Source organism: Homo sapiens, chromosome 3 (assembly GCF_000001405.40).
Source record: "Homo sapiens chromosome 3, GRCh38.p14 Primary Assembly".
Taxonomy (NCBI): Eukaryota; Metazoa; Chordata; class Mammalia; order Primates; family Hominidae; genus Homo; species Homo sapiens.
The window spans coordinates 159,225,613-159,238,890 of NC_000003.12; the positions used below are offsets into that span (position 1 = coordinate 159,225,613).

At 39.1% G+C, this 13,278-nt stretch overlaps 2 protein-coding genes across 7 annotated transcripts in view, besides 1 other annotated feature; both read left to right on the forward strand.

Moving 5' to 3' along the window:
- Window positions 1–13,278, forward strand: part of IQCJ-SCHIP1 (IQCJ-SCHIP1 readthrough) — an 828,041-nt gene that overhangs the window by 156,294 nt on the left and 658,469 nt on the right. The window lies entirely within an intron of this gene.
- The window catches only part of IQCJ (IQ motif containing J), a 196,989-nt gene that overhangs the window by 156,294 nt on the left and 27,417 nt on the right, over window positions 1–13,278 (forward strand). The gene's annotated exons all lie outside the window — the stretch shown is intronic.
- Window positions 3,458–4,061: an enhancer, noted in NCBI's record as "OCT4-NANOG hESC enhancer chr3:158946859-158947462 (GRCh37/hg19 assembly coordinates)". NCBI's record gives its function as "activates a minimal SCP1, AML or CMV promoter by ChIP-STARR-seq in primed H9 embryonic stem cells {active_cell/tissue: H9 hESC(primed)}" and the evidence as "EXISTENCE:reporter gene assay evidence [ECO:0000049][PMID:30033119]".

The following is a 13,278-nucleotide window of genomic DNA, read 5'->3' on the forward strand; positions in this document are numbered from 1 at the left end:
ATAAAACTTGTTTCTTTTTAGTCACAACACTTCTGACACCAAATACGGTGTTTTTTCCACCACCAAGAAATTCTCCAGTTCTCTGTGGACACCAACTCGGTTCATTCAATTCACCAACTGGGTGCAGTCAATTCAATTCTAATGCTGTGTACCTAGTGTTAGCAATAGATACCACAAGTTAAAGGGCTCAATCCAACACTACCCCAACTTCAGATGCCATTCATAAATCCCAGGTTGCCATCTATACTTCTGCCTGACCAGCTACAAACTGGGGATTCCCATGATTCCCTTCTCATGTTTGATATTTGCTGTTACAGCTCGCAGAATTCAGGGAAACACTTTACTTACTATTATTGGTTTGCTATAAAGAACACAATTCATAAATAGCCAAATAGAAGAGATGCACAGGGCAAGGTATGTGGGAAGGGATGTGGAGCTACCATGTCCTATCCAGGCATGCCACCCTCCAAGCACCTCCAAGTGTTCACCAGCCCTTCACACCCCATTTTTTAGGGGCTTTATGGTGGTTCCATTATCTAGGCAGGATGGATTAAGTTATTGACCACTGGTGATTGAACTCAATATCCAGTCCCTCTCCCGTCTCCAGAGGTCTGGGGTGGGCTGAAAGTTTTAATCCTCTATTCACATGGTTGGTTCCTCTTGCAACCAGCCCTCATCATGAAGCTATGTAGGGGCCCAGGTGCCAGTCATCTCATTAGAATACTGAAGGACACTCATCACTGTGAAGATTCCAAGGGTCTTAGAAGTTCTTATGTATGGAGCCAGGAGCTAAGACCAAATATTATAACGAAAGATGCTCTTATCACCCCTATCACTCAGGAAATGATGAGAGTTTTAGGAGTTCTGTGTCAGGAACCACAGGAAGAGACCAAATATATATATTTCTAGTTATATCACAACTACAGTTATGCAAGATGCTAATATTGGGGGAGGAGGAGTAAAAGGTGTGTGGGACCATCCCGTAAATTTCTGGAACTTCTGCGAATCTTACTTTTAAATAAAGAGTTTTAGAAATGGGTAAGACTAAATAACATTTCAGGATGCCCAATTGGGTGAGGAAAGTACAGAGAAATGTAAGAAAGTAGTTGCTTTGTAAGTTGTGGTTCTGATTAGTTCTGGAGACAGGGAGGGAAGTGTAATCAGGATAGGGCATATGAAGGGGCTTGTGACATGTTTGGCAAAGTTCTATTTTTTGATTGGGTGATGGTCACAGGAGTTTACCTGATGACTCACCAAGCTATACATGTTTTATGTAAGTGTTTTATGTTGGATTGTGTGTGTTGTGTCCATGTGCATGTATGTGTACATTCTCTAAATTTGCTTTTGTTTGTGGAGCAGAGGTGAACAGGATGCCATTTAAGCACACACAGTAGATTGCTTCCAGCTAATACCAGACAGCTGCTGAAATCAGGAGGCTTAATGAGATGGTGCAATGCTCTTAGGTTTATGTCTTTGCATTAACAGGGAAAACCTCCAAATGATCCAGGTTTAAGTAATGGGATGCTTTCTAAATTGTTATAATTAGACAATTTTGATAGCAACGAACAAAGAAAATGCCATGTTTCACCATGAGAATGCATGTTTTTAAAGATATCAGGAAATTCATAGGTTTGGCCGTGGCAAATTATAATCTAATGAATTTGCAATTATCATAAATTATTTAGCCACCATGAAACTGTAGATAATTGGATTTCAAGGTCTATTAAAGTTTATAACTACTTATATTGATATTTTTGAGACCTGCTTACCTAGAGTAAGCATCTTTATTATTTTGTATCGGGGATGGTGGGATGAAATATCAAGATTCTTTCCTTTAAGGGGATATCCAAGAATACACTGGGCTTTGTTCAAGTTACAACTGGGTAAATGCTGTAAGTTATTATAATGGACTCCAAATGTGACATTATAGATTCAATGGCTGTCTCCACACCTCAGAACTTCAAAGCTGCTGATGGCAGAAAGTAGCCAGGTCTGGAATGGACTCTCAACAAATATTAGCTAGACGGAGCATATTGTACGCATCACATTTTTCTTTCTAATTCTGGCGGGAACATTCCTCAAAGAGGATTATTCCAGAGTTCTACATAGCAAAGGAGAGCCTTTACCCAAAGACTATGTTGTAAATGTTTTATCAAAAAAGGAATGCATTTTCGGAAGAGCCTTTCCAATACAGGTGAGAACATGGATGTTGCAGAGAATACAGGATGCAATCCTCAATTTTAAGACTTTACAGATATTAAGCATGAGTATTTCGCATTGAAGAGATAGGGGTAAAGAATGGTCAGCAAGACAATTTAATGTAAATAGGGAGAAGAGGGAAGAGTAGTCATCAGGCTGGGGATGAGAGCTTTAGTGAACTGTGCACTGCAGGGTTAGCACCACAATTCTAGGCAATTCTGAATAGTAGAGATTCCATTCCATGTTCTGTTCCAGTAATTTCTTACTCCATCTCTTTCCTTCCTCATCCTCTACCTTTAGAAAACCAAGCATTTTTCCCCTGGTTATTTCCACTTGGTTTTTAGATAACAGTTGTGTCAATATCTTGAGCACATAGAGATTACATGTCTAAAAGATGTAATAGTAGTTTTAATAGCAGAAAGCTCAGCTGAGATTTAATTTCCTCTTTGGGATGTAGGCTTTCTTTCTGAACATGCTGCTGTAGCTGTCTGAAGAAAAAAATACCAATTCTGACATATCTCGGTTTAGAATAAAATACCTCTCCTTATCAATGTTGTTCGCCTACTTGTTATGAAGCAATTTAGGGCAATCACTAAGATTATGAAATGTAATGGTGCACTAATGGGGCATTTCACATATGAGCAGAATAAAGTCATCTCATTGGGAATTTCTTGTGGACTTTAAAAAGTGATGGCCTGGCCGGGCGCGGTGGCTCACGCCTGTAATCCTAGCACTTTGGGAGGCCGAGGCGGGCGGATCACGAGGTCAGGAGATCGAGACCATCCCGGCTAAAAACGGTGAAACCTCGTCTCTACTAAAAATACAAAAAATTAGCCGGGCGTAGTGGCGGGCGCCTGTAGTCCCAGCTACTTGGGAGGCTGAGGCAGGACAGTGGCCAGGAGAGTGGCGTGAACCCGGGAGGCGGAGCTTGCAGTGAGCCGAGATCCCGCCACTGCACTCCAGCCTGGGCGACAGAGCGAGACTCCGTCTCAAAAAAAAAAAAAAGTGATGGCCTGTTTACATAAACCTAATATTTTCCCTTTGGTATGGGTATCTCTATTTAAGAAAATTAATATGTGGTTTAGAATGGATAAATCTATAGAAGAAAGACTTAATCTTCTGCACAATCTACTTTTGATGTTACTAGACATGATGTGGTACTCAGTTGTTGTTAATAGATTATAATATGCAGGGGGTAAATGGAACTTCTAATCCACAGTGGTGTTATAGCCTCATCACATGACAAAGCAGATTTGGCCACAGTCTTTTGTTTTCTTGTCTATCTGCCTGCCTTGTCTCTGTCTCTGACAATAAATGCCATTTTTACTGAACAAGCCTCTATTCCACACCCTGGAACTTTACATTTTAACTTTGGTGGCATTTCTATCACTCTTTCCACATTCTGCACACAGGCATGCCATTCCAGTCGGCCAATAAGGAGCAACTCCCCAGCGGTGAGCACATGGGTCCACTCTTAGCCTTTTCTTGGCCCTATCTAGAATATTCACTTTCAAGCTCCATTGTCATGCATATAACAGTCAGGCTTCTTTGATCTCATTCTGTCCTGAATGTCAAAATGTTTAAGTCAGTTTTTGCATAGAAATAGTCTTCAGCAACTCCTTTCCTTCGCTCTGGTTATATTGGGCCTTTCAGGCTGCAGGAAGACAGGGGCTGTGTCTTCTTAATAGCTTCCCCTTCGGCCATTGCAGCCCCATCCATAGCACAGTGTCTAACACTTGATTACGTTTTTGTTAAACAATGAATGGAACAATGATTAAATGACTAAAAGTTTTCTTGCTTGTGGCCCTTTTTTTCATGTTCTTTCTCAACTTCTGTTTTTAATTTCATGCTTTCTGTGTTGTGGCTTCTACTCAACCCCAAAGTCTCTTCCTCCTCCTCCTCCTCCCCCTCCTCCTCCCCCATCCTCCCCCATCCTCCTCCCCCTCCTCCCCCCTCCTCCTCCCCCTCCTCCTCCTCTCCCATCCTCCTCCCCCCCTCCTCCCCGCTCCTCCTCCTTCTCCCCCTCCTTCCCCTCCTCCTCTTTTTCTTTTCCTTTTTCCGGGTTAAAATTACTTGCCACCTCAACCACAGTTTTGTTAATTTTTTTTTAAATTTCAGCTTTGATTTTAGATACAGGGGGTTCATGTGTAGGATTGTTACATGGGTATATTGGACCCAGTTAGTAAGCATACTAACCAATAGGTACTTTTTCATCCCATGTCCTTCTCCTCCTTACCTCCACCCTCTTATAATCTGCAGTGTTTATTGTACCTATTTATGTCCAGGTATGCTTAATGTTTAGCTCCCACTTACAAGTGAGAACATGTAGTGTTTGGTTTTCTGTTCCTGCATTAATTCTCTTAGGATTATGGCCTCAACTCCATCTAGGTTTCTACAAAGTACATGATTTCATTCTTTTTTATGGCTGTGTAGTATTCCATAATGTGTATACACCACATTTTCTTTATCCAATCTATCACTGATGGGCAGCTAGGTTAATTCCATGTCGTTTCTATTGTGAATAGCATGGCAATGAACATACAAGTGCATGTGTCTTTTTTGATATTTTTAATGAATATCTATTGGATATTCCTCTTAACACTTAAGTTATTGCTGTATGCACTTAAGAATTATGCTGGATGCTAAAATTTATGATACTTGATGTATCCAGGAGATTATAATACAAGCTCAGAAAACCCAGCATCTACTGGGTCTGATAAGCAATCAAGTGTAGAAGTAAGCTTTCCCTTCCCTAAACAGTGATGCCTGCTTCATACAATCTCACACAGAAAGAAGGCATTAGACATAGATGGATTTCACCTTCCTCCCTGACAAGCGATGAGGAAATATAATAAAGGCCTATGGCATTTAAAAGAAGAATGCTACCTTCACAAGTACTTTTTTAAAAACTTTATCCATTGTAAATAGAACTCATACTATTACATACTTTCTAGCCATATTAATTTAAAAATTACACGATATTCACTTTCTGTCTTATCCAGGGTAGTGTTTGTCAACTTCTCCACCCAGAAATCTCAAAGGCAGAAAATAGTGACTATGTGTATTATTGTTGGGGGTGTGTAGGAAAAATAGCCATATTCAAACCTAAATGTTATTTGAGGCCTCCTATTTTAGCTCTAAAATTAATTCAAACTTTGTACTACATTTTGAAATCACGCTTTTGCTGTTCATGAAGTAAACTTGATATTCTGGGAAGATGTATGCCTGACCACAAGCTCCACATACTCCTAGTTTGAAGCTGGCACGCCCCAGTTGGCCAAAGCAGGGTTTGTAAGTTAGAAAGATATTTAGAATTAATGGGAAAAAAGATTCTGCTCCCAACATTTAGGCTATGTAAGGAGAACCAGGCATCTTATATGGGCAACATAAGGGCTCTACCCAGCATAGCCACATCCAGCTGTAAGAGTTCAGGGAGTGAAAGCTTACATCAAATGAGGAAACTTGGAGACATTTCAAGAGGAGATGACATTCCAGACAGTAGAAATCTTTATATATGTGTTCAGTGAAAATACAGTTTAGGATCTGGTTTTTAGTTTCTTGTTTCTTCCCCCCACATCTAATCTGTGATCACCTTATCTCATTCTTGTTTTCTGATAATCACATTCTTATGAATTCTTTTATTTCCTGCAAGCTAGGAAATAATAAAATTAAGCTTGTTTAAGAATCGTTCCTTTTGATGTGCTGCTGGATTTGGTTTGCCTGTATTTTATTGAGGTTTTTTGCATCAATGTTCATCAGGAATATTGGCCTGAAACTTTCTTTTTTTGTTGTGTCTCTGCCAGGTTTTGGTATCAGGATGATGCTGGCCTCATAAAATGAGTTAGGGAGGAGTCACTCTTTTCTATTTGTTTGGAATAGTTTCAGAAGAAATGGTACCAGATCCTCTTTGTACCTCTGGTAGAATTCGGCTGTGAATCTGTCTGGTCCCGGGCTTTTATTTGTTGGTAGGCTATTAATTACTGCCTCAATTTCAGAGCTTGTTATTGGTCTATTCAGGGATGTGACTTCTTCCTGATTTAGTCTTGGGAGGGTGTATGTGTCCAGGAATGTATCCATTTCTTCTAGATTTTCTAGTTTATTTGCATAGAGGTGTTTATAATATTCTTTGATGGTAGCTTGTATTTCTGTGGGATCAGTGGTGATAGCCCCTTAATCATTTTTTATTATGTCTATTTGATTCTTCTCTCTTTTCTTCTTTATTAGTCTGGCTAGTGGTCTATCTATTTTGTTGATCTTTTCAAAAAACCAGCTCCTGGAGTCATTGATTTTTTTGAAGGATTTTTTTGTGTCTCTAACTCTTTCAGTTCTGCTCTGATCTTAGTTATTTCTTGTCTTCTGCTAGCTTTTGAATTTGTTTGCTCTCGCTTTTCTTGTTTTAATTGTGATGTTAGGGTGTCGATTTTAGATCTTTCCTGCTTTCTCCTGTGGGCATTTAGTCCTATAAATTTCCCTCTTAACACTGCTTTAGCTGTGTCCCAGAGATTCTGGTATGTTGTGTCTTTGTTCTCATTGGTTTCAAATAACTTATTTATTACTGCCTTAATTTCCTTATTTACCCAGTAGTCTCATTCAGGAGCAGGTTGTTCAGTTTCCGTGTAGTGCCGTTTTGAGAGACTTTCTTTTTTTTTTTTTTTTTTTTTTTGAGATGGAGTCTCCCTGTGTCACCCAGGCTGGAGTGCAGTGGTGTGATCTCAGCTCATTGAGTGAGTTTCTTAATCCTGAGTTCTAATTTGATTGCACTGTGGTCTGAGAGACAGTTTGTTATGACTTCTGTTCTTTTGCATTTGCTGAGGAGGGTTTTACTTCCAATTATGTGGTCAATTTTAGAGTAAGTGCTATGTGGTGCTGAGAAGAATGTATATTCTGTTGATTTGGGGTGGAGAGTTCTGTAGATGTCTGTTAGTTCCACTTGGTCCAGAGCTGAGTTCCAGTCCTGAATATCCTTGTTAATTTTCTGTCTTGTTGATCTAATATTGACAGTGGGGTGTTAAAGTCTCCCACTATTGTTGTGTGGGAAAGAATCATTCCTAAAGAGGACTTTAAATGAAAACTTTCAGGTAAAATAGGTGGGGGTTGGCTGAGAGCTGTGTGACAGATCTTCTGGGACAGATAGGACTTAACATCCAGGTATAGAGATTTGTTCCAATATATAATGCTCTCCTAGAGACTGCTCTCCAGATAATTGAGGTAATGCTGCGCTATTTAATGATAATATAGACACTGCAATATATTACTAACCTTTTCTTTCTTTTTTAAAAGACTCTCTTATCGATTTTTTTTGAACCCACATCTGGACTGAGTCATCCCAAGTTTTTGAGTTCATGATCTCATTCTGGGTTTTGATGACACGTTTATGTTCCAAGAGAATTAAGTCGGTTGGGGATGGAAAGAGAGGGCATGTCACACAGAACTTGGTATGAAGTCCTGCCAGGCCCAGGGGCTTAGGCTCTATCTGCTAGGTGAGGGGGGTCAAGAAAGGTTCCAAGGAGTTGACTGTCCTGATGAGTTTGGCATTTCAGGTTGCTCCTTCTGGCAGGCAATAAGTCTTCAAATAAGGAAAGTAGAATAGATGGTGTTCCAGAGGCCATTTGGCAAAACTGGGTAACTAATGGGAAATGGGTTGAGAGTGAGCCAGGGGAGGATACTTAGGTTAACATCCATGTTTTGAAGAGTCTGAGATACATAATAATAAAAATCTGTGTGATAGTTAAAATAACTAATGTCATCGAGCACCTGCTATTTGCCTGGTGCAAGACTGAATTTTTAATCATCAAGCTTTGAAATTTGGTACAATTAGTGTCCCCATTTTACAGATGATAAAACTGAGGCTCAAAGGAGTCACACAGCCCAAGATTACACAGGAATGGAGCAGAGCTGGACACCACAGGAATGACAAGACAAGTAAGACATAATTGCTATCCTTGGTGTGACACTTAAGGAATCTCTCTGTGGATGACCAGCACTTTAGAGTACACAAAACACCTTTAAATATGTTATTTTAGTTAATCCCCACATAGTATTGTATAGGAGGCATTGCCATCATCATCTTACACATGATGAAACTGAGATCTAAATGGAAGGAGTTGCTTTCTAAGATCAGACAGTAATTAGATGACGCATCTAATTTAAATGATAAATCCGAGCAGTTTGCAGAACATTACAACTTCTTTACAAATGCCATGAGTGAGATACTGCTGCTACTCACACTGGTGTAAGTCCCAAGTCATTCATGGGAAAAGAGTGCAGATGATACAGTTTAGATTCTGGGATCAGACTGCTTATTATATTGGCACCTCATTTCTGCTATAAGACCTTGGACAAGTTACTTATTCTCCTAGGTATGTTTTCTTATCCAAGAAATGGGAATAATAATGGCATATTTTGCTATTTTTATAAGGCTTCTGTGATAATTTTTAAGAGATAATTCATGCAACATGCCTGGAGCCTAGTAAAATTCAATTAATGTTAGTAGTAATAAAAATAGTTCAAAGAAATGACATAGAATTAGTTGCAGAAGGAAATACTAAAATATATAAAATCACATTTCAAATGAATTTTGAAGAATTTCAGAAGGTATAAGAGAAGCAATCCTGTGGCTAGGGAGTTAGGAATGTTTTTAATCCCGAAGATTGTTTTTGTTTAAGTTAGCAGTAGTGTTTATGAGCAGAAGAGTTAAATTATTGGAGATGGGCCCGGCACGGTGATTCATGCCTGTAATCCCAGCACTTTGGGAGGCCAAGGCAAAAACATTGCTTGAGACCAGGAGATAGAGACCAGCCTGTATAACCCTGTCTCTACAATAATAAAAATAATGTTTTAAATTGTTGAATATGTACTTAAAGAAAAGCAATTAGGCAGCACAATGAAATAGTCCCAGAGAGAAGAATCAAGGCCCTGAACAAGGGTGGTAGTGGAGGGGATAGAAAGGGGGAGATAGATCGGTATGAAGGGCTGCAGGGCATTTTAGGAGCTCTTACCAGCATGCATTTGGATTGCTTCTTCACAACATCACTTAGTAAATACATAAGAAATGCAAACTCACTTTCTAACCCTGCTAAGCAAAAAAATCTAATCTGGATGGTGTTTGCTACACTACAACAAAATGCATTCCAGAATCAGGTATAAACAATTTGGGAGTTACATGTTGTTCTGATTGCCTGCACTTTTTTTTTGTGCTTTGGTGCAAGAAACCCAGAGTTGGTGTATGGATTCACGTATCCACATTTGCTATTCTGTCTGCTTTCTGAGAGGTGTTTATTTGTTGGCTTCTGTGCTTATTTGTACTTGTGTTCTCATCTTGAAGCATGGTCTCTAGGATAATTTTCTCAGAAGGCAGAAATACATGAAATGTAAAAATATCTACACTCTTGTGCCTATACCTATATTTTGATCTCAGTTGAATTTTTATAGTTGTCCTGCTGTTAAGCTGAATTAACATTGAGCAAAGAGACCACTTAAAAAATTTTACTAGTAGTGTTTCAATTTCTTGTATCCTAGATTTAATGGAAGTGGTTAGACATTTTGTAATGAGCCAGTTCTTCATTCTATAATGATAGTTTTTGAATGTCATGATCTAAAACTAGCAAAAGTTTTGAGACCATGTACTACTTATGGAAAGGAGAGGGGAATATTTAAGCCTGAAGGGTATTTTTCAAAATAGCACTGGGCTGGCTTATCCTGTCTAACAATCCTGGATCCAGTGCGAGTGGATTGCAGTTTGCTGGTGCTTATTCAGATTAGGGCAAAGAGCTGGCTTGAATGATCTAGCTGTAAGTGTACCCTTCCAGAAGTACCCTTCTACTCTTGGAGGATCTCAGGGACTGAAATTATCTCAGATCCAAGGTTACCAGGGACAATGACTTAACCAGTCCAAATTAGGTTTGTACTTGCTATGTTTCGACTTAGATCGGGTGTTTGACATTTTCGCATGTGGCAGCAAAAGCTTTTATGTCCTAATAATGTTTATGAACGTAGTCTGGTTGGTCAAACAAGAACAATGAGCTATCACAACAATTTTCAATTTTCATAGGCATATCTTATGTTTGTAAGTTTCTAAGTTTACAATGTAGAAGGCAGCTAATGTTAATAATAAGTCCACTGTCGACAAGTGTAGTAAGGCCTAGGACTACCTCACTCAGTGATTACTGCTGTAAGATCACAGTCCCTCTGAATCTCGTTGGACATTCAAAATGTCCTTAAAGTGTTAGAAACAGGCAAATATCTTTTTAAGTCTACTACCTCATGTATGCTTCATGTGACCATAACTTAACTGAATGAATCCTTTAAATGAGCTGTTGATGTCCTATTTGCCATTTTTTTCCTCCTAAAGAAATTCGTGTTTAGCTGCAAGGTAACTTCCCTGTGTGAAATTTACAGGTTTGCCAGCCATAGAAAACATTAATGCATAATACATAAACAAAATGTATGCTCCTTTTGAAAAAAAAAAAAAAAAAACCAAGGAATTTAGTCCTTGCTTTCCAAAGGGAGAATACATGAATCTTGCATTTTTATTTTTGATGCCTTTTTGCCTCTAAATATATGAGATGACTATTAATGCCCATATTCACAGCAGGGATAGAAGGGAAGTGGCAGTAAATTGTAAAGCACATTTACATTATAACAAGGCCTGTGGAAGCATTGTAATTCACACAGTTATTTCAACAGAGGTTTGGACTCCCTCCAATTTAATTTTCTGAAGTTGGGCTGTGCAGCTGGGTCATTCCTGGTCTAATCTGGGAAATGTATCTCTTAAGGCTGTGGATCAGAATGCCAGCCTCCCAGTTGTCACCAGGGAGCATCATTTACAGCCACTGAGGTCCGAGGGCAAAGCATCAGAATCACTTAATGTGGACACAGCAGCCTAGCTAGCTTCATAAATTCTGTTGCAAAGAGCAATAATCAATATTTCATGTTTAATGATGCAGAGTTAAAATTACTATAGATTTTATGTCTTCTACTTTTCCAAATTATGCAAACATTAGTAACCCCTTTTTTAGTGCCCTTATTACACTTCCATTAAAAAACGGATGGAGGGGAGCAGGTGAGGAAGCCTGGTAATATATAATGAAATTATTGAATGGTCAAAAGCATCAAAAGTGATTTTGGTTTTTAATTTTTGTTAAATAGTTGCCCTTAGGTTAATATATAATTATTTCCAAGACACAAAAACCTGATTTATGTAAGTGGCACAGGTTTTGTCACCCACAGCTACACAGTGAAGTAAATTGCAGATTGTTTTCACATTTTAAGTTAACTTAAATGCTCTGGGATATGTTGGGATTAAATGATCATGATGTTAGTCAGAAAAGTTAAAAGGTTGGCATTTAGAAACAAGTGAACAAGTGTACTTTAGAGAAAAAGCAATTTTGATTGGATTTCTGATTTTAAACCTGTCCAAAGAACATACGCTGCTTGCTTAGACAATAGAAGTGGTCGAGATTGAAAAAGGAGGAAAAATAAAAAACAAACCAGAACAGTGTTTTATTATTGGGCAGGTCAAGGAGCTGACTAAGCAGCCACAGTGATGGGCTTGTCTAACCTCTTAGCTATTCCACTGTCTGTGACAGAAGAAAAGACTGCGGGATTGAGACAGGAGGGTAAAGCCAGACACAAAAGAACAAAATTCAATACCCACCATTCATTCTAATAGTTCACACCCAAGTTACTTTAGAACAACTCTTATAACAGTGGGAAGCCTGGGAAGTAGTCAGTAATTTTTCACCATAACAGTATAGCCTAGATTCCTTTGCCACTCATAACACAGACTTCATTTGGAGAAATGGGATTAAGGATTCTGGAATGCTGTGTGTCTGGATTGTACTTGAATAATTCAACTTGTATTTTGCAGAGAGGTCTAGCCTACATTTAAAAGAAAAGAAGCAAATAGAGCATAGTAGAAATTGTCCTGTTATTTGGTGAGTCTAACCGAACCAGGTTCAGGTCCTTGAGTAGTGACAGCTTCTCCTATAAAGATTAATTATCAAACACACATGTTCTTCTGGTAAATAATATGATTAATTAATATGATTAGTTAAGTTTATTGGTTTATAGAAAAAGAATTGCAAAGACAGGGCAAACAAAAGAAACTTAGGGTTCTTGAAGTTTCTGGATTCAGAGACAACTCATGTAAAAGGACGACTGAGAGTTTAATGAAGTGACTATTTACATAGTTGTGGCAGAGTAGAGGAGAAGCCACAAGGAAGAAGGAAGCATCTGGGGTTATCAATAGTTGAATGGGGCAAAGGAAGGGAGAGGAAGGAAGGGTAGGTCTTGGAGGGGTGAGAAAATGGAGCAGTTATGGGAATATGCACTATCTTGTGGGAAAGGCCACTCTATGGAAACTATGGCCATTAGTTATGTCCAACCGTGCTCCAGCAAGAGAGGAGAACAGAGAGAAAAAATATTCAACTTCTTTCTTCTGCTACCCTCTGGGCTCATGCCAGTGCCTCCCTCTGCTCAAACATTCCCCAGGGCCATAGAATAAAGGGTCTAATAGATAAAGTCCAAAATTATGAGCCTCTCAGACACAGGGAAGAATGGAGAAGAGTAAAGACTGTATCTGACAGGCAGACAATAGCAGACGATATAAAACTACTTGGGATTTTTTGGGCCATTAAGCTACTAAAGTTTCTTTTCCTCTTAGAATAACACATTTACTTATTCAACAGATAATATCAAGCACCTCTTCAATAACTCATTTTGGGAATAAGCACATCAAAGTGAGTAAGTTACCATCCCTGACCTTGAAGAGCTGAGTGGGGGAGGCAGGTAAAGAGTAAATATTAAAAATAAGGATCACCAGAGGTTGCTGAGGAAGGAGGGTGGGGTACCCAACTTTCTTTTTGGGTTAGAAATATCTGCTTGAAGGAGGGGAAAATTGGGGTCTTCCCGAAAGAAGAATGGTGTGGATCAGTAGAAGAGTTAGAGGCATGTTGTCACTGAAATGTCCAGTGGGCACGTGAGTTCTGGGATTTTGTTATGAATCATTTGACTGGGCTCAGAGAAGAAGTGTGTGCAGGGGCCAATGAGGTGGAGTGGGGAGAGGCAGGCTGGGCTTTG